General features: G+C 45.1%; 2 protein-coding genes and 1 long non-coding RNA gene across 5 annotated transcripts in view, besides 7 other annotated features; 2 read left to right on the top strand and 1 right to left on the bottom strand.

Annotated features, from left to right (window-relative positions):
* Nucleotides 4201–4755: an enhancer, noted in NCBI's record as "H3K27ac-H3K4me1 hESC enhancer chr5:76935081-76935635 (GRCh37/hg19 assembly coordinates)". NCBI's record gives its function as "activates a minimal SCP1, AML or CMV promoter by ChIP-STARR-seq in naive H9 embryonic stem cells {active_cell/tissue: H9 hESC(naive)}" and the evidence as "EXISTENCE:reporter gene assay evidence [ECO:0000049][PMID:30033119]".
* Nucleotides 4756–5312: an enhancer, noted in NCBI's record as "H3K27ac-H3K4me1 hESC enhancer chr5:76934524-76935080 (GRCh37/hg19 assembly coordinates)". NCBI's record gives its function as "activates a minimal SCP1, AML or CMV promoter by ChIP-STARR-seq in naive and primed H9 embryonic stem cells {active_cell/tissue: H9 hESC(naive and primed)}" and the evidence as "EXISTENCE:reporter gene assay evidence [ECO:0000049][PMID:30033119]".
* On the top strand, nucleotides 5298–15299 carry OTP (orthopedia homeobox). The gene is made up of 3 exons (NM_032109.3): nucleotides 5298–5498; nucleotides 6781–7190; nucleotides 13217–15299. Exons 1-3 carry the CDS (start codon nucleotides 5462–5464, stop codon nucleotides 13745–13747), a joined length of 978 nt encoding a protein of 325 aa, NP_115485.1. The 5' UTR covers nucleotides 5298–5461; the 3' UTR covers nucleotides 13748–15299.
* OTP-AS1 (OTP antisense RNA 1) lies at nucleotides 9551–14340 on the bottom strand. The gene is made up of 2 exons (NR_198942.1): nucleotides 14250–14340; nucleotides 9551–11288 (listed from the first exon to the last, which is right to left on the bottom strand). It is a non-coding gene; the product is annotated as an OTP antisense RNA 1 (long non-coding RNA).
* Nucleotides 11086–11215: an enhancer, noted in NCBI's record as "active region_22701". NCBI's record gives its function as "activates an Ori minimal core promoter by ATAC-STARR-seq in GM12878 lymphoblastoid cells {active_cell/tissue: GM12878}" and the evidence as "EXISTENCE:reporter gene assay evidence [ECO:0000049][PMID:35858748]".
* Nucleotides 11318–11818: an enhancer, noted in NCBI's record as "H3K4me1 hESC enhancer chr5:76928018-76928518 (GRCh37/hg19 assembly coordinates)". NCBI's record gives its function as "activates a minimal SCP1, AML or CMV promoter by ChIP-STARR-seq in primed H9 embryonic stem cells {active_cell/tissue: H9 hESC(primed)}" and the evidence as "EXISTENCE:reporter gene assay evidence [ECO:0000049][PMID:30033119]".
* Nucleotides 13302–13351: an enhancer, noted in NCBI's record as "active region_22700". NCBI's record gives its function as "activates an Ori minimal core promoter by ATAC-STARR-seq in GM12878 lymphoblastoid cells {active_cell/tissue: GM12878}" and the evidence as "EXISTENCE:reporter gene assay evidence [ECO:0000049][PMID:35858748]".
* Nucleotides 13522–13961: a silencer, noted in NCBI's record as "silent region_16112". NCBI's record gives its function as "represses an Ori minimal core promoter by ATAC-STARR-seq in GM12878 lymphoblastoid cells {active_cell/tissue: GM12878}" and the evidence as "EXISTENCE:reporter gene assay evidence [ECO:0000049][PMID:35858748]".
* Nucleotides 15109–15674: an enhancer, noted in NCBI's record as "H3K27ac-H3K4me1 hESC enhancer chr5:76924162-76924727 (GRCh37/hg19 assembly coordinates)". NCBI's record gives its function as "activates a minimal SCP1, AML or CMV promoter by ChIP-STARR-seq in naive and primed H9 embryonic stem cells {active_cell/tissue: H9 hESC(naive and primed)}" and the evidence as "EXISTENCE:reporter gene assay evidence [ECO:0000049][PMID:30033119]".
* Nucleotides 23434–25095, top strand: part of WDR41 (WD repeat domain 41) — a 189645-nt gene continuing 187983 nt past the window's right edge. For all 3 annotated transcript variants that reach the window (XM_011543505.3, XM_047417350.1, XM_047417349.1), the window contains exon 1: nucleotides 23434–23532. In XM_011543505.3, the coding sequence (XP_011541807.1) occupies nucleotides 23491–23532 (42 nt within the window). In that variant the 5' untranslated portion in view covers nucleotides 23434–23490. The remainder of the gene's footprint in view (nucleotides 23533–25095) is intronic.

Raw genomic sequence — 25095 nt, 5'->3', positions numbered from 1 at the left:
CGCCAGTAGTTAGAAGGGAAAGATGGGAGAAAAAACGAGCAAGGGACCGGCCCTTGCACCCACGAAAAGTCAGGCGGGTGGACTGTCTGGTTGAAGTTTGCAAACTCGAATGTGTGGGAAACTGTTTACTGCAGAAAAGAAAAAAGTGTATATGTCGAGCTCGTGTATTGCGAAAGGCTTCTGGGTGGGATAGGAAATGAGACTCTTTGGGGCAGGTTTCTGCCCCTCCGCAGCGCCTGGCATGCCCCCTCCGTGTGAGTGAACAGGCAAGGAACACGCACTGCTCGCACAAGCACACACAAGTACACGTGTCATGCACACGCAGCCTGCTACCGGCGTTTAAAAAACAGAAAGAAAGCCCCAAGTGTGGATCCTGAACGTTGCTTGGCATTTGGCTCCGAGGCTGGGGATCCTGGGTCCTGTAGGCAGAATTGTTGCGGCCAGAGGGCCCCCTCAGCGACATCAATCGAACAGCTGGCTGAGAGCCTCCCGGAGTCCCTGCGCTCCCAGCCCTGGGAGGCCAGGAAGATGCACATTTGGGCTGGGCCCAGGCCTGTTTGAGAAGGGTTAAAAACGCTTCACTTTGCCCTCCAGAGCCCTCTCCCGAAGGCGAGCGGAGGACCCTTTCACAGTGGCCGGGCAGGGGCACTCAGAAGAGAAGCCTCTTTGGCTGTGGTCTCTATTGCTGGAAACCTCAAGAGAGTTATTTTATGCAGAGAAGCATGGAAATGCCTTTTACCCCTTTACAGACACTTGGCCGCCCTCCCAGGTCTCCTTCCTACTAGTCATCCCACCCTCAAAATGACTCCCCGAAAATAAGCCATACACTAAGCAGTCTCAAACTCCAGAGTGGCCAGATGCAGACCACCAACCCCAGTCTGGGACAGGGTCAGGTGGGGAGAGTGGAGGCTGAGGGGGAGTGTAGGTTCTGGTACCCAGGGCAGGATGTGCGGGAAAAGTGGTCATCATTGTTCCGAGCACAGTGGACTTGAGAGCGTCCTTATTTTCTTCTAGTATGTGTCCCCACCCTTTAATTCTTTTCCATTTCTTAGGTAGGCCTGAGGAACACGATCTGATTTGCCATTGCGTTTGGATTATTGCCTATCTGGAAAAGTAAACAGGAGTGTGCAAGTCACTTGATTTGTTTTCTGTAAGCAAATAATACCCAAAAGCATGGCTGTAATTTACCACGAATTAAAATTGATTCTTTTCATCAGGCAAGAAAATAGGAAAATGTGAGATCGTTAATTATTGAGGGAGGAGCTCCTCATTAAAGGGAACAATGTTACAATTCAGCATTTAATAGCAGGAATGTGAATAATAACGCGCCATATTTCAGCCCACTGTCTGCAAAGAAAAGAGAGCAGTTTACAAACAACTCAAGCAGCCGAAAGTTACATTTAATAAACCTCCGAGGTTTTTGTAAGTGGAAAAGCAATTAGGGCTCTGGGCATACTACCCAATTCTTCCCACAACACCCGGTATATATTTTTATTCTGTCTGTTTCTGTGTCTACAAAGGATTCACAATGCACGCAGAAATACGATTAGAGAGACAATCAGAATTACAAATACAATCAGCACAAATTCCTCTGGAAGGCACCAGCTGCCCGGGGGCCCCATCCCACCCCACCTCCCGGTCTAGACACACATTTCTAAGTCTTGATCTGGAACTGGACGGCAAAGCAGGAGTAAAGACACTGATTTGATAGTTGCTGTGCTTGTAATTTACATTATCAGTCATCAAGTTTTTTTTGTTTTGTTTTTTGTTTTGTTTTTTTTTTTTTTAATTCTCCCAGCAAGCCGACTTTCCTCGCAGCTACAGAGTTCTCTGGCTCTGTCTGGGCGCGCAGGGCGGCTGGAGTCAGGAGCCGATTCCCTGGCCTGTGAACGCTCTTTGTGCTTCGTTAGAAAAGAGAAGGAGGGAAAAGGAGAAAGAAAAAAATGATTTCCCTGTGCATCGTCCCTTGGCAGGATCTTGTACAAAATTCAATCTCTATTTTTTATGAGAAGTAAACTGTCTAAATAAATTTTATTAGGGGCAACCAATATATTTTCTGGTAGTTCCCTTTGTTCCACTTCTACGTGTGTGTAACAATCTAAAACCTATTTATTGAGGAAAAATCACTGGATCCGTCATAGAAAATCCTTTTACTTTGCTTTGAAGTGATTTCTGAAGACATTCTTGTCATTCCGAAGATTTGGGGGCCATTGCGCTAAAGCTTCGCCTTGTTAGGGACTTCAGTTCCCATGATCATGTGGGAAATGCCTTAAATTATCAACAGCAATGGGCCTGACCGGCACTTTCCCGGCTGCCCCAGGAACGTGGGAAGATGACGGGGAATAAAACTCTGGTAAATACATATCAGGCGCTACCCAGGTGGATTCAGACATTGGCCAAAACGAGCTACCGAGAGGGAACCGGGAGCAGGGGGGAGCTTTTTACATCCAGGCTATTGTCGTTTTTCTCGCTCTGCCTGCTGGCGGCGGGCACCTGGCTCCAACTCCAGCCTGCGCCCTCCCCGCCTCGACGCCCCACACCGCCCCCTTCCCACTCTCAGATTTCCCTTTTTTTTTCTTTCCTTTCTCCCTTCCCCCCCCCGAGATGCTTATGCTCTGAAGTCTTGCAAGAAATGATTTAGTTTGTTTATACTGCTATAAAAATCAAGACCAATAGAAAAGTCATAAAATGAAGCGGGCTATCAATCATGCCGCAACATTGTTATTCAGCGGTTACTAACAGAGATGGATAATCCTTTGATTTCGTCCCATTGTTATTACTCTGATGTGTCTTCACATTAACTATTACACATTCATTTATCGACCTGAAAGATACAACAAAACAGAATATACGAGCGAGTGCGTGTGGGAGATCGCTGCACAGCCGGCGCCGTTCCGGGGGCGACTGTGGGATGGGGACACTAGCGCTTGTGTGCACGCACGTGGAGACGCGCGGCCCCGCGCCCTTATCCTTGTCTCCCCAGGTCGCGGCCCCTTCTCCCTCCCTCCAGACAGCGTGTGGAGCCAGGCTGTGCGGCCTGGCGGACCTGCCTATTTCTGGGAGCAGGGTTCTGGAGCCAGGTCTCCCTGTCTCTTCCTTAGCCACTTTCCCCCCACTTCTGACCCTGCGTTCCGGTGTGGACACCCTGCAAGCCCCACCCAGGTGGGCAGAAACCTCCTGCGAGTCCCTGGACGTGCGCGGGCCGGTGCGTACTCCCGAGTCACCGTCCTGAGCTCACGCCGCCCCTCCCTGGGCTGCTGTCTGGCCTCCTTTTGCTGTGCGCTCCCAGCGCTCTAGCTTCTAGATTTGAGGTTTTGTTTGGGGGCAAAGAAAGCTTTTATTGGGGAGACTTTGTTTGCTTTAGGTCTCGGAATTCTCCTCCCAGGCAAAGCGTTTCTCAGAAGGGCTGCGGCCGCTTGCCAAAAACCCTAGCGGCTCCCAGACACGCCGCGAGCCTGAGTCCACGACCCCGGCGCCCAGTCCCACATAGGCCGCGTTGGTAGCAGCTGCAGCAGCCGCTGAAACCCAGTCCGGCCCGGAGCTTCCCGGGAAGCGGTCTCCGCAGCTCAGAAGAAACTGGTGTGGCCAATACCCTGCATTCACACGTGTGTGCATATGTGTGCGCGCGCACGTGTGTGTGCAGGAGAGGAGGCGAACGGGCTGCAGGAGGGAAGGAGGAAACAAAACTGCCCGAGAGTTCGCTTTGCCGCCTCCTTTGTCTCCTTGCTCGGTCCCTGTCACACATACAGCTGAGGACACACACACACACACACACACACACACACACACACACAATTCCTCTCGCATCTGCTCTCAGCCAGCATTTTCAATGTTTTGTCTAAGTCAATTGGACGGCGAACAAAAAAAGCCATTTGCTCAGTATTATTTAAAACAGACTTCATTGGGCCACCCTTTTGTGGAAGGTTTATTTGCACTAAATGAATAATCTTAATTGCATCACTCTCGAATTAAAAATCAATGTTAATCAAGTTGGGAGTAGTAAATATCAGTTTTCATTGTGACTGGGTAGAGGGCATTTTTCTTGTGTTGCAAATAAAAATACAAGTCAAATAACTTTAAAAGGGCATTATGTTCTGCTACAAATACAATTGAAACGGATTGTTTAGGAGCAGATCAGAAATGGTACAGAATTTTGCACTTAATTTCCTCAGTTATCATTTACAATAAGAACCTCTAGGCTTGACAGCCAAGTCTAAACAGTAGTAAATTAGTACAAATTTATACTGATTTTACTCTAATAATCGTAATAAAAGCTTATAGATTTGGCACTAATTACATAAATGCCTAATGATCTTGAAAATTACTCTGGTTAGAAATATATTACTAATCTAAACTTTGTTGTTGGCTGGCTCTGAAAAATCAGAACATTAGAAATGGTTCGCTTCACTTGTGCAAAGCACTTTAAATTGTTCAAGTAGTTTAACATATTCAAGAGGAAAATAAAGAGCATTTAACTTTATTTACAGCCTTAAGTGGAGTTGGGAGCCGAGCTGAACTTAGAAACTTTGACCAAAAGAGCGAGTTAGGGGCGAGGATGCGGGCGTGGGCCAAGCGGAAGAGCAGGAGCCGGGAAGAAGCCCGGTGAGAAGAGTGCAGAGCGCTCGAACCCACACTCCGCGAGGGTCCCCAAAGCAGACAGCGGGCGCTGGCGGTGCCAGGGAAGCCGACTCCTCTTTGCGCTCTAGGCCCACTGTGGGGTTGGGGCTCGTATAGACCCCAGGGCACAGCCAGGGCGCCTGGACCCTAGGCGCAGGCCTACTGAGCCGCGGCGAAGTCCAGGCGTTGTCTGAAGGCCGCGGTGTGCCCTCGTCGCGCCCTGGGCTGGCGGGCCAATATGAGCGGCAGGCCCAGAGAGCGCAGGTGGGGGCGACCCTCAGGTCACGCCAGGGTCATGGCCCGCTCTGACCCCTGCTCTGCCCCTGCCCTAGGAAGATGTTAGCTCAGAGGCACAGAGCTACGCCTTCGAAGCGCGCAGCGCCGGCCAAGGGGAAGGAAAGGGGAGCCTGGAGAAAATCGCAGGGAAGAACTAGAGGGAGCCGGGCCCAGAAGCTCAGGGCGAGGCCGAGGCGGCTGAGGCTGCTTTAGCTCCTGCTCCGGGCTGGAGCTGCCAGGGCTGCCGCCGCCGCCTCCTTCAGGCGGGCGCAGGCGAGCGGGCGGGCGGAGTGGGGGACTCTCCGGGCGCTGACATTTGCAGGCTGCCCTCCTGATTGGTCCCCTCGCCGAGCTGCTCACGGGTTCATTCAACTGTTAAGCACCTCCCCGTCTCTCTAAAGGACATTATAATGCAAGAAGCCCCCTTTTTAACCACAAACCGAATTTTCTTTCATTTAGGTGATCTATATATATCTATATCGTATAGCTTATAGCTTATATCTATTTTAAATAACTTAAAGCCGCTAAAATTTGGGGGGGAACAGCTTTCGCCCTGGAGCGGTGCGCGATGCTGTCTCATGCCGACCTCCTGGACGCCAGGCTAGGTGAGTGCGCGCCTCTCGCCCGGGCAGCCAGGAGAAGCCGGGGCAGGAAATTGTCAATTTGTTCCTTATTTTACCTTAATGCGACCTAAATGGACTAATTTCTTTAAAAGTAATTGTGCTGCATTAAAGTTTAATTTGATTTAACATCGCCTTTAAAAAAAAATCTATGGAATATGTAGATCCAAGAAAGGAGTTGGGGAATGTTGTTACTTTTTGTTTTTCTTATTTTTCTCTTCCCCCCTCCCCCGCCTTTTTTTTTTTTTCGAAAGGCGATATACCCCGTGATAATTTGTTAGGAGGTGTTTCTCTCTCTTTTTTCCCTCTCCTGTTTGTTTTGATTTGGGATTTCTTTCTCCTTCCCTCCCCCCGTTTCTCTCTCCCCACCATCTTCTTCTCTCCTCCTTTTCTAAGTGTGGTGTAATTTGTAAAAAATCTGGCATAAAGGAGAAGCTGCTGCCATCAAGGCGGATTTGCTAAGTGTGCTGGTTGAGAAGGAGAGAAGCCAAATTCAACCTCACAGTCATCCCCCCCTCTTCTGCAAGGGACTCAGCGTTGCCAATGGCTGTGAGGAATGCGCCTTTTATTTCTCTGGAAAGAAAAGTTGAAATCTCTAAAGTTTGATTCACGGTTGTCCATAGAGTTCACTCGAGTTTCCTTAATGCTATCTGGGTTGCTGAGCTCTGGGTTTCCGGATTGGGAATCTTCGGTGATGGATGTGACTCCATTTTCCAAACACTTTCTCTGATTTGAGGGGGAGGCGGAGCTGATTTGGGTTGATTTCGGGGGGTGAAAGCTTGGAGGCTTATTCATCTTCCGAAAGTAAGAGGGAATCGGCTGAGGGCCGGAGGTACAGTTCGTCAGGCTGCCGAAGCGCAGGTGCCGCAGCAACCGAGGAATTGTTTAATTTTCTTTCTGCCCCCCGCACCCCTGTGTCCAAAGATTTGCTCTCGATTTCCTGGGGCGCCTGGGGTACGGTTTATGGAAGGGATTCAGAGGCATGTTTTATTGCCGGGACTGGGAGTGTTTTATTGTGGGAGAGACGAAAGCTTGTGCTGTTTACTACGGGAGCCGGCTGCGGCGAGGGCAAGGGGCCGGGAGATATTATTCCAACCCGGCTGTCCAAATTCTGGGGAACCCAGCTGAATACCCTGGGAGTTTCTTCCTTAGGACAAGCGCGGGTGCGGAGGGGGCCGAGGACGGGTTGAAGGAAGGCTGCGCGGGGAAGACAGCCCCTCCTGGCATCGCCAAGAAAGTAGTGACCGCGATCCCCTTGCCTCCTCAGGTATGAAAGATGCCGCCGAGCTTCTGGGCCACCGGGAGGCGGTGAAGTGTAGGCTGGGCGTGGGGGGCTCCGACCCCGGGGGCCATCCGGGGGACCTGGCGCCCAACTCTGACCCAGTGGAGGGAGCCACTCTGCTGCCCGGGGAGGACATCACCACAGTGGGCTCTACTCCGGCCTCGCTGGCGGTGAGCGCCAAAGACCCGGACAAGCAGCCCGGGCCCCAGGGCGGCCCGAACCCCAGCCAAGCCGGCCAGCAGCAGGGCCAACAGAAGCAGAAGCGCCACCGGACGCGCTTCACCCCCGCACAGCTCAACGAGTTGGAGAGGAGCTTCGCCAAGACTCACTACCCCGACATCTTTATGCGTGAGGAGCTGGCACTGCGTATCGGGCTGACCGAGTCCCGAGTGCAGGTACGAGGGGCTTGGGATCTGGGACAGAAGGCAAGGACAGGGCGGGAGGATTTGGGCAAAGGGAGCAGGGTCTTCCCTTCCCCTGTCGAGATCCTGGGCTGCTTTCAGGCTGCCTGTGCGTTCCTGTATCGAGTTATCTCCTTCTCTACCCGGAAACTGGTCCCCATCGCCATCCCCCAATGGACACGCAAGGCCCGTCTCCGGCCAGTATAGCGACATCCCGGAAGAAGCTCCTCAAAATCGAAGCCCGGCGTTGTCGGGCTACAGGGTTCGCCTCCTCCGCCTGAGAAGGCAACCTCAGCGCCCCCCCGGGCGGCCCAGCCGAGCGCACACCTCAACTCCTGCTCGCATTATTGACAAATATTACCCCCTAATGAGTTTGTGTTAAGCGTTTGGATAAAAGGAGGAATGCAACAATTATACAGAAAACAAGAGAAAAGAGCAAATAAGGCGAATGAGCGCCTTTTAAAAAAGTGCTACACCCAGGTTTCACGGCGTGGCTTTATTACCTTAAGTATCACCCTCCCTCTGCACTCAGGCGAAATATTCCTAGCTTTGATGTTTGCAAGGGGTTTGAACTTTCGTAGTCTACCAGTGCGCTGGGGGCAGCTGACGAGATTCCCAAAGCCGGTGAGCCCCGTTTTGTTTTGGAGTCCTCTAAGGAAGCTACGGTGGGGGAGGGGAAATGAAGGCTTTCTGTTGTGGATATCATGTCTGAAGAAGGGGCATTCAGAACGGGAAAGGTTGACAGGCAGTAGAGGAAATCATTGCTGACCCCTTATTCTCCTCCAACCACTCTCCAAGCTGTAAATTATATATAACCTAGAAAATCACACCTATAATTATTCTGAAAATTGGTGAATAAAAGTATAAGCCTAGTGAATCCCAGATTTTTGTTTGTTTTTTTTTTTTGTTTTTTAAAAGAAAGAATGAAGACATATCAAATATTTTATGGACAGGTGCCTGGAGGTGAAATTCCAAGCGCCGGTACTCACTCTTGAGCTATCCAGGGTGCTGAAAAATCTTCCTTTGCCGTCTTGGACGGTGGTATTTTCTGTACGATATCCTGGGTGTCATCAACCTGGTCAATTTGTTAAACCAGTGCTACCTACTTTTATAAAATTAACTTTAAGATCTTAGTTACTTTACATTTGATCTAAGAAGTAAGCAATGAGAACGTCCGTAATCACAGCGTTGAATGTTTCTGTCTCCATTCGGCATTTTAAAGATAGTCTAAACTGAAAAGATAGCGCATGCTTCTGCTCTAATAGCAAATGAATATTATTGGGGATTTAAAATGGTCAAATTAATAAAGTAATGTTGATTAACATAATGATTAGCATTTTTATACAATATAAGTCTGGGTGGTTTTCCTAGTGAAAGGCCTAGACCATGGTCTTTTAAAACGACACACCAAAAGAGTACTAATTGTGTAACTGTAAACATGTGTTAGTAATGCTCTTCAAAATTTTTATTTTTCACCTTTTAAAAAATATCTGAAGTTGAGTTTAAACCTTTACATAAATATACAATTTCAATACTTCCATCAACACTGATGACAGTGCTTGCTTGTAGGTTCAATTTTGCAGGTTAGAAATTCATAAATTTTGGGGTTTTGTCCTTTAAGAGAAAGATTATCTATTAATTCTGTATTTAAAGGGTAAAATGCTGTGTCTTAACCTAGATATACTGGCAATTAGTTTAAATTAAAATAGAACTTAGAATCACAAATAAAATATAATTGAACAACTGATTTTATGAAAAAAGAAAACGAGGTCTATTAAACTTTATTAGGTCTTCCAAAGGTTAATGACAGTTATTCTTTTAACAGAAAAAGTTGTAAATGAAATAAAATATAAGCTATGTAACAGAAATAGTTATTTTCAAAAAGTACACAAAAGAATGCACAAGAAGAAAGAGACAAAGTACTCTAATTGTTCCAGCATAATGTTCAAGCAAAGATAATAGCTTGAGCCTGCTGATAGACACAATTTAATAGAATGGCAATTTCAATATTTTTAAAAATAATGTTCCATAGTTTAAAAAGTAATCAGATCAACATAACCTTCTTAATTAACTTTTCAAAATGATTAACATTATGTAATGTAATGCAAAAATAATTTATGGAAAATGTATTTACTTCACAATTCACTGTACCATTGCTCCTTGACCAAATTCAAATTAAATAGTAATTGGCTTATGTTCTTATATGATCAATACTTCATAGTTTTCTTTATAGTTAACAGACTGCCACACATTCTTTTCAGTATGTGGGCCACTGCGCTGATTAAAAATTATCTAAACATTTAATTCATTGCAATTGTATATTTTTAAAGATGCTTTTTGATTCTAGACTAAATTATCCAATATACTTATTTTTTATCTTTATTTGGTATATATCACACTTTTAAGTATTTATTAAAGCATCTCTACTCACATGGAGGCCAATTCCATGTCTGATATAGCTCCTCTTTTCTGGCCAGTGTAATAAAACCATTCCTTTTATAGCATGCCATTATTAGAAACCAATTTCAGAATTATTTATAACCTGGAATGGCTTATTAAGCAGCAATGTGAGAATCATGCAAATTATGTGATCAAATGCAATATAATAAGCATAATCATTAGTCTCTAGCATGGATTAATTAACTTTCAATATTTTATTTACATAAAAACCAAATCAGTAAAATAACTTCTGCACAGTCAGGCTTGCCTTTCAATATTTTATATGAACAAAAATAGTGTGCTGTAATTCCATTGACCGTGTCCCCCAGAATGGCCCTGTCACCTGCCACATCTTAATAGGGGGACAAACTGAGAGTATTTTCTAGTTTTCTAATGGAATGAGAAATTGCATTTTCTTCCTCTCCCAGCACTATTAAACTGTAATGAATTCGGCCCAGAGTTCACGGCTGGCTGATCGAAATGAACCTGAGATCTAGGCTTTAATACAGCTCCCCAGATTTCCTCCAAAATCTTCACATTAATCATTTGCTGGATTCCAATGAGATCTTCATAAAGCATTTGCTTCAAGGGGGGAAAAAGTAATATTCTCTCTTTCTCTCCCTCTTTTTTCTATTTCTCAGTCATTTATAGCTGGGGAATTAAACGGGCTATATATTTTAAAATACATTTACAGTATGTCTATATTACTGTAACAGCAGATATCATGAAAGTGGATTTTTAGATTCCAACCTCCATTAGATTCTCACTGTTGTATTAAGCATTTTCCAAGAAGAGCTGCATTTCAAACTGAGTACAAAGTTGGCCCGTGGCTGGGGTTAATATATTTCCTGGAGTTGTCATCTGTGCATTCTAAAAATCTCCCTTAGGTTTTGCCTGCATTTTAATCCGTCATGCTCTAGTTTTCAAGTGGAAACATTCACATTTAAAAAACATATGCATCGTAGCTTGGAACGGAGGTGCTCAGACCCCACGCAGATTTTTTTTCCCAATCCCAGTAAGCCATGAAACATAAAAAAATTTGTAGCCATCATTTGACTACTAACCCTCAAACATAATTGAGCACGATTTTCCGATTATTTCTATAATATTTAGTTCTTTAACAGCTGTTCTTTTCCGCCTGTGCCTGAGCAGATCCTAGATTCAGAAACCATTCTGGTAGTCACATTTTCTATTGAAATTCTACTGGGCAATCCTCCCCCTCTTTCTTTTTTCTGCTCCTTCCCTCACACTCCCTCTCCTCAAACAAACATTTCGGGATTCACTGGCACTTGCAGGTTGTTAGGAACCGGTCTTGATTTTATAAGACACCTTTCAAAACATAATCCCGGTGCGGCGTGTAAGGTGTGGGAACCGTTTAGTCACAGACACCGTCCCGTCTACCTCCCCCGAGTCCAGCCTTGGGTGGGTGCTGCACAGCGACTTTCGGCCTTAGGTCTTCTCGCTGTGCCTTCCTTTCCTCCTGAGAGATGCTCTCCGCCTAAGACCGCTAACAGCTCAATTGGGTCTCATTGATCCCACTCACCATCTAGAGCCCTGTTGCCTCATTAATCCGTTGTGCCACCAGCTCACGGGCTGCAACTGGGAAGAGACGAGACCTGTTTATCCATCGCCGACACTGGGATACGCAGCAATCTGCAAAATGGGGTAGAAACCACAGGAAGAAAGTGGTAGGCGACGGCGCAGGCACGGTAGAAAGGCGAGGGCCGGCCCCAAGCTGGGGGAGTATTCTAGACTGCAACACCGTTCACACTGGTAAGCGTAGAGTGCGTCTACGCTTGCCTGGGCATGAACACACCGCTGAACATTGCTGGCTCACCGAGACCGAGGGCAGGTATGTCCATACCCCTGATACTTTAGCTTGCAGAGTAAACACTAAATAGGTTAGATTAACGGATGCACAACGTTTTTTTCCACGGATATCGTGGTCAAATTGCGTTGGCCAAATTCTAAGAGGAAACTCAGTACCTGGGCTTGTCCTACATCATTTATATTTAGGCACAGTAAACGCCAGATGACCAGATTTTAAACTGCAAGTCTTCCAGGCAGGCTTGCTGGCAAATTATTATTATTATTATTGTCATTTAAAAAGATCACATTCAAATAGGGGGAGATGGGAGTTATCTTGGATTGGCAGCTTATGTGATATCTTTCAGGCAGAACTCTTCTTCTGTGATAGAGGGTTTGACATGCCTAGGCAAATTTGCCTGACAGGGTCTGTAACTCCCGGGCCACTGTTAAAAAAAAAAAAAATAGGAAGGCTGTTTTCATTTGGAGTGTATTTTATCAAACTCATTTCCCTGAAAAAGGACGTTTGGGTTTGTCTGAGCAAAATTAAATTTGATTCATATATCTCGTAGTGAAATGTGACCTCCTTTAATTCATATTGGTCCGAAAATTTGCTTTTAGTTTATAAATGAAATGGGGGCGACTTGAGGGAACTGGAGGCCTTGTTACTTGGGACCCTTGGTAAGTTCCTGAAAGGAATAGACTTTGGCTTGGCGCGGTGGCTCACGTCTGTAATCCTAGCACTTTGGGAGGCCGAGGCGGGTGGATCACGAGGTCAGGAGTTCAAGACCAGCCTGGCCAACATGGTGAAACCCCGTCTCCACTAAAAGTACAAAAATTATCTGGGCATGGTGGCGCGTTTCTGTAATCCTAGCTACTCGGGAGGCTGAGGCAGGAGAATTGCTTCAGCCGGGACCCGGGAAGCGGAGGTTGCAGTGAGCCGAGATCGTGCCACTGCACTCCAACCTGGGCTACAGAGCAAGACTCCGTCTCAAAAAAAAAAAAAAAAAAAAAAAAAGAATAGGGTTGAAGGCTCTTGGGGCAGCAGGTTCCAGCCACTCGTACAGCCCAGACAAAGGTGTCCATAGAGTGGTTTGGGAATGAGGCACGGAGAGTTGTGGCAGTAGCACGAAGCAATATGGGAGGAATCGGAAGTCATGGTGGTGACCCAAACAACACTGTAGCTCAGTGGCGTTCACTTTCCCACGCAGATCACTGTATTAACCTCTCCGCTCTGTCAACCGTAGCGTTAGGGGTTTTCCTTTGTCTTTCGATTTTGAAACTATGTCATCCACAGCCTGTCATCAATTTCCAAATTTCCAGCGTTTCTGAAAATTCTATAGCACATCAGTGTTATAAGGCATGCTATTAAGCTACATGGGTACACGTTTATCTTCATTTGTACACCTGTGGGTCGAACTTTGACACATGCCTGACTGCAGACCTGTGAATCTGTGCAGTGCACAGAATGTGCAGGGGCGTGGTGAAGACTGCACACATTTGGTGTGTTTGCACAGTGCGTAAACTCTTCGGGGCACGAGCTCTTAGGAGCGCAGGACTCCGCGCTTGGTGGGTGCAGGGGGCGCCAGTTGCCAGGAGTTGGTGGGGAGCCACAGTCTCCGGCTGGGTATGGGGGCTTGTCGGGCCTACGGCACTTGTTCCTCCCAGGGCAGAGCGGCTGTATCCGAGGCGGGTTTCTGGGGCTCAAGCCCCAACTCCCCAGCCGCCGGGCCGGCTAATAGCTCCCTGTCTGTCTCCCGCCCCGCCCGCTCCAGGTCTGGTTCCAGAACCGACGCGCCAAGTGGAAGAAGCGCAAAAAGACGACCAACGTGTTCCGTGCGCCCGGCACACTGCTGCCCACGCCAGGCCTGCCTCAGTTCCCGTCGGCTGCCGCCGCCGCTGCCGCCGCCATGGGCGACAGCCTGTGCTCTTTCCACGCCAACGACACCCGCTGGGCGGCGGCCGCCATGCCTGGCGTGTCACAGCTGCCTCTGCCGCCGGCGCTGGGCAGGCAGCAGGCCATGGCGCAGTCGCTGTCCCAGTGCAGCCTGGCGGCCGGTCCGCCGCCCAACTCCATGGGCCTGTCCAACAGCCTGGCGGGTTCCAACGGCGCGGGGCTGCAGTCGCACCTCTACCAGCCCGCCTTCCCCGGCATGGTGCCCGCCTCCCTCCCCGGCCCCAGCAACGTCTCCGGTTCGCCCCAGCTCTGCAGCTCCCCGGACAGCAGCGACGTGTGGCGGGGCACCAGCATCGCCTCCCTCCGCCGCAAGGCGCTAGAGCACACAGTCTCTATGAGCTTCACTTAATGCAGCCGCGCCCCGGCCCGCTCCGCCCCCAGCACCGCCCCGGGGGCCGCCCCGAGGCCCTTCCGGCGCGCACCCGGACCCCGGCGCCCTGCCCCGTCCCGCCCCGGCCTTCGCCCCGTCTCGTTTCGTCCTCGCCTCTCTCCTCCACTCGCTCGGGCTCACCCCAAGCCCCAGCCCGCGAGGCCTCCCCTCCGCCTGATTTCGATCGCCCGCGGTCCCCCGTCTCCCGGCCGCCCCTCTTCCCTTCCCACCCAGCTGCGCCCTCGGCTCGGTCTCCAGCGCCTCAGCCCACCCTTCCCGCCACCCTGGCCTCCCTGCTTGCGCTGGCCGTGCTCGCGCCCTCCTCCTGGCCTTCTGACGGGCGGCGTTCCCACCCACACCTTCGACGCGACGCCTACGACCCCCCTCGCCCGCCGCCTCCCCTCCGGTCCCCTCTTTCCCCACACTTCGCGACCCTCCTCCCGCGCCCGGCAAAAAGTATCCTTCCCGCCATTTTACGTACCAGGGAGTCGACTCAGGATCTGAAATCAGACACCAATGGACTGGTTTGTGGGCAGAAACACACACACTCGCACTCTCGCTCACGCTCAGACGCTACACACGCGCGCGCACAGACACGGTGCACCTAGGTCACACACGGACGTGTTCAAGGGACAGCACAATGTTAGGGATTTTTGTCTTAAAGGAGGACAAGCATTGCTACCAACCGCCTCATCTGAGGGCCCAACTGATATGATTTGATTTATCCTTGTACTCTCCAAGCTCCTGTCTTTCTTTCCTCTCCCACCACGCTACCCTTGCCCAGTCCACCCAGTCACATCCGTGCAGCCCTCTCTTGGCTTGCAAGATAACGCTTTTATTTTTATTTTATCTTATTTTCATTTTCTTAAGCACAACTGTGTGAGAGTGTAGAAGGGAAGGCTTCTCAGGAGGAACGTGACAGTGGATTGGGTGGCTGGAGTAGACTAAAGCAGTCATGTGACGAGGAAGAGGTGATCTGACCCATTTTGATAAGTCTTTATAAGGAAGAATAAAATAAACGTGTAAGCAAAATTTTCTTTTGTAAAAGCAAAAGCCACATCTCTTTTCTGGATCCTTCAGGACTGGGGTTTGTTTGCTTCCTTTTCTGTTTCTGTCTTCTCGCTGCTCTGTGCCCTTGGTTGTTTTGTGGTGGTCCTGTCGTCCCTCGTGCCCCTCGGCCACCTGCTGGCAGCCGATGGGGGCACTCGGACATCTACAACCCTGCAACTTTGTACAGAGAAACACAATCAGCTCTTTCTGCATGTGCTGGTCAAATCCAAACCCAGAGAACAGAAGCGCTTTCTAAGAATGAACAAATATGTGAAATAGGATGTTTTGTGTAGATAAAGCATTCTTGTTACATACTGGTCAATTTGTGATATGTTTTAACTTAATGTCTGTGTTTATTTATGGAATTCGGTTTTCTTAATAAATGTTTGAGCTAATATAAAGCATATTATTTGACTTTTCCGGACAAGTTTATATCAAGTTAAATGTAAATGGATAAAATAAAATCATTTTCAGTATGTGATATAGAGAATGATGGGTTTTGGTGTGACCTTGAACGGCGGGAGGGGTCTCGTGGGGGGAGGGGAGGGGCCGGTCTTGGGAATGGTTATATTCGCGCCAGTTGGAACGCGTGGGCCCTTCGCCCTGCAGTGGGCTTGGGTTCGGTTTCTGGGCTGCAAGGTGAGGTCTCCGCGACGGGGCGGCATGCTGGGGCGCCGCGAGCGCCTCACGCAAGCTCTGAGCCTCCCGAGGTTTCCGGGCCAACCCAGGTTTCCCAGGTGGGACTCCGAGCGTCGCTGTCGGCACGAAACGCAGGGCGCGAGAGTTCCTCAGATGAACGGTGTCCCTGGGGCAGTGGCGCGGAGGGCGCCCCTCGCGGGCTGCGTGCGCGTGATGGGGAGGCCGTGGGTGGGAGGGGACCACAATTCGCACCCTCGGCCTTCAGAGCCTGGAGTTCTGCTCTCCGGCGCCGCCCCAGCCGTGTCTGGCCCCAGGTACGCGGTGGAAGCTAGGCCGCGGCTCTTGCCTCCTCCGGGGCCTAGGCCTCTTTGGGGCCTTCCCTAAGGCCACGGCGCCCCTTCATGTCCCCAGACCCGGGATCCGCTTCAGATACCCGGGACCTCCCAAGTAAGGGACAAACGCGCTTCTCCAGAAGAGGCGTGTCCGGGACGACCAGCACCTACCAGGGCTCCCCCAACCCCGGGGCTGCTCTGGTTTCCTGTCAGGGTCCCTGCTGGCTGCGTACTAACCTCGACTTCAGGCACGTGCTCAGGGGACTGCCCCAAAGGAGTAGGAAAAAAATGCCGTTTCTTCGGTCGGCCGAGGGGAAGGTTTGCGGTGTGTTTTAAACTTGGAGGCAAATCGATATCACAGGCTTCCTTGGGAAGGCTAACCGAAATCAATCTTGTGGTTTGAAATTTAATGGTCATTATAGGCATTGAGAGGGCACCCCTTTTCCCACGGGAAGACTTCTCATTTGGTTGCCTCAGAGTGTAAACCCTAAAAAATACCCTCCTGCTAAAATACAATACAGCTGGGCTACATGTGAATTTGAGGAGCTGTTGTAATCGTTACTCAACTAAGAGAACACAATGGAATCTCCTCAGAGATGAGAACAAAAAGCTATGATTTTTAATGATAAAGTAAATCTGTTCATGTTACCTTAGGAATTTTAATTAGAGGTAAACTGGTGGGTGGGTTCACAGAATATTTCAGTTATACACTTTCCTAAAGACTATTTTTAGTACATTAAAATATTAAAGAAGAGAAAACATGCTCATTTTGAATTTCATACAAGAACGGAACATTTCTGTATTTGAGAACTCATCCAAGAATTCAGCAGCACACAACCACCAAATTTCTAAAATATGAGTTAATGAAAAATACTTTTCCTTGTTTTTGCATTTCATCATATTCTCGCTTGTTTTATGTTAGTGCTTTTTTTTAAAAAAAATTGAAATCGTGGATACTGTAATCTCAAGTCACATTTAAGAGATCAGTACAAATTACGGATTGCTTCACCAGTGCTCATGGAATGTTGTTTACAAGGATGCCAATTTTACAGCTTTTTATGCTGCTATAAAGCATAACTTTATGATGTAGGAATGCAATAAAGGATGCTAAATGGAATCTTTAAAAATTGTATTTCTCAAAGGCAAGGGAAATGGGATCTTTCATTGGAAAAAAATGGGCCAACTCAGAACACTGATGAGAAGTTGCAAATCAACTCAAGTGATAGATGCTTTCAAAGATACTTATATTTCATAATGTAGTGGTTATTTATCAATATTATAGTAAAGTGTACAGAGTTTTTCACTTGGCTTGACTCTGGGCTAATATTTGTTTCTATAGCAATAATAGATTTTTGTATTCAGAATCCTGAACATTTTAAAGTCATATACGCCATTAGGTTAAGGGAAGGCAAGCAGGCCTGAATTGTTAAGGTTGACGGTTTAGCAAAGATAAAAAGAGAAGAATAAGAACCTCAATCACAAGCCTGAAAGATTTCTGCTTTTTGAAGGAGAAAAATCTAACAACAGAATAATGCTTCATACAATTTTTTTACTCATCATTAACAGCAATTCTGACTCAAAATTGTTAAAGATCTAATAATAATTAAGTAAATTTAATAAGGGAATAAAGACAATAAAGTTGAATAATATCAGAACACAAAGTAGTTTAAGTACAACATGCTAGATGTCCTGCCTCTAATAATTGTACTTTTTGCTGAGTAGCCTGTTTGATATTGAATACTGTCACCACATGCTAGCTGGAAACAATCCATTATGATGTAACCATATGATTGATTTATTTTAATATACAAGTTCATCCTTGTATCTTTATTTTTTCCTCAGTATTGGTACTAAATATCATACATGCCATACAAGTGATGGTATAGTAATGATTTTGCACTTAGATTACCTTTTGTTGATGGTGGAGGAAATATGATATGGGAATGCAACCTGCTGAAGATGATGTTAGATACTCAATACAAAACAGCATGCAGAGCAGTTTGGGTAAATCACGGTAGATGTGCATATAGACATGCAGAGGAAATAAAGAGGAAAATTCTAACTTTGGGACAATTTATGTTTGGTGCCCCCAATGACAGCTTTTCCCAAAAATGAAAATGTGTTTTTAATTTATATTGTGGAACTTACATTTAAATTTTTAGGATAAAGAAAAAACTTAGCCCACAAATATGTGTATTCTAGTAATGGCAGTAGTTAACCTGTCAGTTGAAATAATGTAACCTTCCTTTTCTCCTTTTCATGACATAAAGATAATCTCATCTGAGGGCATTTATGTGAAGAAATAACAGCATGGCATGGTGAAACCACTGGCTCATTAATCCTGGCATCTACTTCCTACAGGGTTCCGTGATTAGTTAGATTCATTCACTGGGCATTTCAGAGTTTTTGATTTGTCACCATTGGCTAGGTTCACTGAGTTCAGGCTGAATTGAGCCAGAAGCAATGTTTATTAGTAATTTTGTAGTACAGGCTACCCTAATAATTCAGCCCAAATATCTCATCTGAAAAATATCCATTCACCCTCACTTCTAATGTGGGTTGCAGCTGTGTTCATAGGGAATTGAAAGAACGTCAGTGATTGGGCATGTATTTTCTAAATTATTAATATGATGGCTAATAGCTGTAAACCCATCTTTGTATCCAATGCAGAAATTATGACTTATTTTAAAAATGAAAGCTGCAACAAAGAGGGGCACCTCCTGCCCGGCTTTCTGCTAAGTCTCCTCAGTGCAGAGCTTTTGGTATAGGAACCATGGCCGATTTAGCATGTGGTCATTACAGAGAGACACAGAACAATGCCTTTGGCTTTTTTTAATGTGTACACTATCAAAACAAGGCATGGATTTAGAAGACTTACTAAAACGTGCCATTAAGGAGTTTTGGGTATGAGCTGTGTACAGAGTTTTTCACTTGACCTGACAAAAAAGAGCCATCTTTTGATTTTGATGATGGCATACATGCCATACAAGTGATGGCATGGGGACCGCAGTTCACACCCTCGGCCTTCCAAGCCCTGCGCTCATAAGTTGTTTGTCTTTAAGCAGGCATAATTAGTTGTTATTACCGTTAAGCTGCATCTTCCATCCACGTGATGAAATATCCCATATATCTCAGTTTCCATCTTCAGACCCATTTTATTTGAGTTACACTTGTTGCAGTTGCTCACGCTGCCACAATCCCTCTCAGTTCTGTGTTGAAGTAATTCACAAGTACCAGGAAATATATAATTAACCCACATGACATATATAGTATATGTTCTTTGCATCTTTCACTGAACTGTCATAAGACTTTATATACTTTTGTTCCTAGTCTTTATTGAATCTATTAAAGATAAACTCAAGGTCAGATTAAGAACTGTAGATGCTTTTTAACATGGAAAAGATTATATGTGATTTTTATGAAATTAAAAATAAAAATATTAAATTATAAAACAAAACATAGATATACTGAAATTAAAATAAGTTCTTTTTAGATTTGCTAATTGCACAATTCTGAATGAGTTAAGTGAAGCTGAACTGGTCTTTTTGCTACCCTTGCTTTATTAATTATCTTAGTCTATTATCTTAATGCTTAGGTACTCCAACATTGATTTCAAAAATAACATTTTTAGAGAGTGTTATTTCATTACTTTCCCTCCAGTACCTTACATTTGAACTCCATTTTTTAGTTGACACAGCTCATTATCTCATTTAACTCATGGCACCATTATGAAGTAGATATTTTAACCCTTGTTGTATAGAGGAAGAAATTGAGAGTCATGAAGGCTAAGTAACTTGCCAAAGGTCATATCCCTAGTAAGTGGCAGAGATCATTCTTTAAGTTACATTTTCAGGTCATTAAGCATTACCCTTGTGTATGTAACATATAGACATTTCCCCTACTGTTAAAATATTTTCGGGGAATAAAACGAAATATCTTTACTTAGAAATTTAACAGTCCACCCTTGTAATTTAAACAAGAGATACTTTGATAGGACATGATAACTGCATCAAAATAACACATGGTTTCAAGAGTCTAGAAACACTCCTGTCCTACGGAACCTCACCCTCTTTCCAGAGGTTAATTCAAGATATTTCAGCCACCGAGAAGGCTCTTAATCCGGTGAGAAATCTTTATCAATGAAGTCATCTTCTTGTGACACAAGCTCTGAGCTGAGGTGGCAATAAACTTGTCAAATAGCCCTAGGAGTACTTTGAAAGGTGTGGCATTGTAGATGGACAGGGGAAGGGAGAGGATCCTTGGGTCTTTTGGTGCTTTTCTTGTCTGTCCCTGCAAGATTTTACAGGGAGATACTTTGATGTTGCTTCTGTATGTTATTAAAAGAATTACAACTCAGCATAAACTGCATGTCCTTTTTCTGGCCTCCATATATTAGGAATCCATTGCCAAACATAGATCATAAAATCTTAGCATTTGAAGGGACCTTGAAATCGTCTCATTCAAATTTCTTGACCACAGTTGTCCCTTTTTTATTTCTCACCAAGTGGACTTGTGGGCTCTGTTTGAATGAAAGGTAGATGTCTTTTACTGGCCTGCCAGAGTTCTTCCTTTCATTGAGCCTAGTCTGTCTTTTGTCTCCTAGTTCTTTCTTCCGTAGTCTTACCTCAGGAAGGACTTTCTGTCACAGCTCTTACTACTGAAATGATTTTTCTTTTTAGTCTTCTTTTGTTAATATCAGTCAGTGTAATACCCCTAGGCTATGCTATGGTACCAGATAAAATTCATCTCTGGCTTAACACAACCAGGGATTTTTTTTTTCTTGCTCACACAAATGTGACTGTGAGTAAAGTAAATCTCTAGGAGAGCTCTTCTTCATGTGGTGACCCAGTGATCCAAGCAGGTTTCATGTTGTTACTTAATCACCCCATTATGGGGTTTCCACGGTCTTTGTGGGAGGAAGAAAAAACTAGAAGTTTAAACTGGTTCTTTATGCTTTGGTCCAGAAACTTCTACTCATGGTCCAGTACCTAAGAAATTATTATAAGGCTTCCCCTAATTGCAAGAGGACTGGCAAATGTGGAACACATGAATAGCCAGTGAATAGAACATATCTCTGCCATAATCTTATTTTCTCAGTGATAAACACTCTTAGTTTTCTCATTTAACATGTTTTTCCTACTTATATATGTCAACAGTTTTTTTGTGCTTGTTGGCAAAGCCTGTAGGTGGGGGTACCAGAGAAATATATAACATCCAAGCTCTTCAAGGAGCTTATCATATAATTGGAGAGACAAGACAAATATACTTTAAAAAGAAAATCGTACAAGTCAATTTATAATGGATTGATCAAGTGCTAAGTACTCTGATCTATATCTCAGATGCAATGGAAACTCAGAGAAGCAGGAGATCATTGTGGGTAGAATTCCTGGCCAGGCTTCCTGGAGGAGCTGGGTCTTATAGGATAACAAGGTCATCCTTTAGGATTTTATTCTCCACTTTTGTTTTATTCTGTTGGAATTATTTTGACCTTTCCTTGTGGCTCTTATTTTCAGATCTATAAAGTATGTTTCTTGTGTTTATATATATCCTTACTAAATTCTCCACTAACCTCTTAAATGTGGAGCCATTAACCGGATTCAAATCTCTAATGACCAAGGCAAGACATGGTGGGCCACTTGCCAGACTCACTTTAATAGCCATTCATAATCTGATAGAGTGTTTTAGTATCACTGATATTCCCCAAATGGATACATTTGAGCAATGTAATTCCCCAATATATAGCATAGACTCTGACACATATTAGGTGTGCAATAGATGCTTATTAAGATTAATTTAGGTCAGATGTGTTGATGTTAAAGTTCCCAGCTTATTGCACGTGCTATGATCTATTATCATGGTGGGGTAGTTACCAATTAAAAATATGTATCGTAAAGGGCTTACATCATTATTAAGGTAAAAAATAAATCACTCCTGACAAGCAAGATAATGTTTTTATTCCCACAAAAAGAGATCATCCTTGTCCTCTGATGAGCACAGTGCTCACTTGGAGTAAACTAGTCACCCATGGGAAGCTAATTACCTTTTCCAAAGAACTGGGGTACCATGTAATGTCTTCGAAAAGGTAATTTAGTGAATGATGCCCTGTTATCTTGGAAGAGTTAATATGCCACTTTTAGAAACTCCAGTGACTGGATTGTCTCCCACAATGGAGGGAGGAGCACACACTTGCCAGGAAGCCAGCTATCTTAGATTTCCCTGTTGGAAGACTTAAGAGCTTCATTTTCATTTTAAACCTAGTGGTTTCTTTGAGAACTGGTTGTATGCCATAAGCCATTTTAGATTTGAAGAGTGATGATGAGAATTTTCTCCTTAGGCAGAAGAACTCCGGAGGAAGACCTTGAGCTTCTGATAGGGGTTGTTTTGGGTTCAGGTTAGGAGAGCGTTGCTTCTCAGGGAGGGAGGTTGTTTGTTTTTTAGTTACAGAAGAACAATCCTTGTCCAGTCATGACTCTGCTATATTTGGGGACCCAGAAGAAATGCATGGTTTGGAAAACATAGTTATAGTCCTTGATCAGCCATTACCTGACTGTGTTCTTAGTTCAGTCACTTAGCAGTTGTGCACTTCCATTTCCTCATCTAATATCTGAAGTTATTTCCCAATGCTGACCATTCTAGTAATGATTAACTCTACATTGCTGACTAGTGTGGGGCAACTCAGTTTATTTTATTTTATTTTATTTTATTTTATTTTATTTTAATTTTATTTGAGACGGAGTCTCACTCTTGTCTCCCAGGCTGGAGTGCAGTGGCGCGATCTCGGCTCACTGCAAGCTCCGCCTCCCGGGTTTTACGCCATTCTCCTGCCTCAGCCTCCCTAGTAGCTGGGACTACAGGCATGCACCACCTATGCCCGGCTAATTTTTTTTTTTTTTTTTTTGTATTTTTAGTAGAGATGGGGTTTCACCTTATTAGCCAGGATGGTCTCAAACTCCTGACCTTTTGATCCGCCAGCCTCGGCCTCCCAAAGTGCTGGGATTACAGGCTTGAGCCACTGCACCCGGCGCAACTCAGTTTAAACATAATCAAATGCCTGGACTGGTCTTTGTCTAATCTGTTTCTTTTTTTTTTTTTTTTCTTGACCTGGAGATAGGGGATCTGATTCTGAGTCAAGTCAGCATTGTGTTACGGTGGTGAAAAGGTAAGCTCATAATATCAATGCTCTGCTGAAGAGTTGCTGCCACTGACAACATCATTAGCCTCCTTGTAATAGGACCCAGGGAAGGGATTGGGACTGTGTAGGAATTGTTTTCCAGAGTAGGAAAGAAAGAGTGGAACATGCAAGGATATAACTTCTCATAGACAAACATGGCTGTGCAAAAGAATCCTCATTCCTATCCTTAAACAATTAGTGCCATGGGGTTTGCATATCATCTAACTGAAAAGGAGAAATTAGAAAATAGACAACCTAGACATATACTCATATAGGAAGCACTCGGTAAATTTTGGTTGGATTAATTAGATTCAAATAGTACCAGTTTCTTGTGTAAACTTAGTGGAACAAATGGCCAACGACTTAGAAGCCTGAGGGGGCAGTTCCAGCATATTTATTTCGTTGCCAAGGCAACACCAGGTGTTTGTGACCACAAGGGAGAATGAAAAGAATGGGCAGCCTAGTGGTTGCTCAGGTGAGCGCAGGTACACAGACCAGGAAGTATCTCTGCTCCTAACCTCTCTTTATGTATGCATGAAGCTAATTGTTCAAGTCCAGGGGAAACTGGTGAGGTATGTGAAGTTTTTGTTGGGACTTCAGCTTTCTTCATCCCCCAATATTTTCAGGGTCATAGGACCTTATCTTTCAAATTCTTTTCCCCTATTAAAACAGGAAATTAGCTGGGATCATTTACATTTTGACTAAAGAGACTTACAGCAATATGCTAACTTTCTATTTTAAACTCTTTAATTTTAGTATAGAAAGAATATTTTTATCTTAATTCATTAAAAGAACTTTTAAGCAGTAGGAGGCAAGTAAGGGTGATGTTGTGGGTAGAGTTTGCACAGAGGCATTCTGCAGTTTCAGGAAATTATACCACACCTGAGAAGAATCTACTTTAATTGTTTGGGAATGCTCAAGGAGCTGGAGCAAAAGGGGTGAAGAAAATATTCTTTCTTTGGTAGGTGGGAACACGGGTATTTGTTTCTTATTATTTACACTGTATATTATATATATAGCATATATATATGCTTATTTCTTGGACATATTTCACAATAAGATAGGAAAAAAAGTACCAGTAGTAATTTCCTCTTCCCTTAGTGTCCCCTCTTTAAACATCATCTTTACTAGAGTGATGGCCTACAGGTTCCCCGAGGGATTGATTGCCTCACAGCTGCTAAGTATACAGAGGCACCTTTTGGCATTGCTGACTTCTCCTATGCGAAGCCCTGGGCTCCGAAGTCACCTCTGTTTCCTGGCTTTCCAGTAAGACTATCTAACCCTTGTTAAAAAAACAAAAAAACAAAAAACACCCCTTTTCCTTTCCTAGCTCTAGTCCTCTGCTTTAAAATTCCCAGGGTTCATTCTTACTGTGTAATATCCTGCCCTGAGTTTTCTTCTTCCTTCCCTATGGTAATCCTGTTGTTCCCTCTAGACAGGTAGTCCTCATCCTCCTGGCCCCCAATCTCCACTGCATCAGAGACACCTGGACTTGGGGTCAGGTCTGGGGAGAAGCAGCAGCTGGACACGTTGCTCAAGCACCTTTCAGATAATGGGGGTGAGGGTAAGAGGGAAAATTGGGGGGTCTCTAGGGGTGTAATACAGGAAAGTCTGCCCTGGAACACAGGGATAGGTTGAGACAATGAAACCTGAGTGTGGGGAGAATCAGATTCAGGACTTTTGTTTCTTAATTTGTGTGTATTGATGATTAGTTTAGCTATTTTCTGGCCTGAATGCGTGGTACCTGACACTTATTAGATGGCAAAAAATTATTTGTTGAATAAATGATCCTGGAATGCTGTGAGGGAAATGCAATATCGACTTTGACTTTAGGTACCAGAAAAGTGAGAGAGGAAACAAATGATTTTCCATGTAAAAGTAAAAATCATATTGATGTGAGCTGCTTATGTAATCACCGTGAAACAATGACCATGAAGCAGTTATATGTAAAATAAAATACTTTCAAATGAACTTTGAGTTCTATTTTGTAGCAGTAGTAAATTCTACTAGTGTCAGGTAGGCTGTATCAAGGTGTAGAAAGGGAGGTTACTGGTCATCTAATCTTAGTGTTGCTGGTTAAATTCTTCACACAAATTATAGACCAAATTGTCATTTAGCATAGCTTATGGACAGGA

The sequence above is a fragment of the Homo sapiens genome, chromosome 5 (genome assembly GCF_000001405.40).
Source record: "Homo sapiens chromosome 5, GRCh38.p14 Primary Assembly".
NCBI lineage: Eukaryota > Metazoa > Chordata > Mammalia > Primates > Hominidae > Homo > Homo sapiens.
Note: the sequence above shows the minus strand (reverse complement) of the source record. Positions and strands in the feature narration are given on the sequence as shown.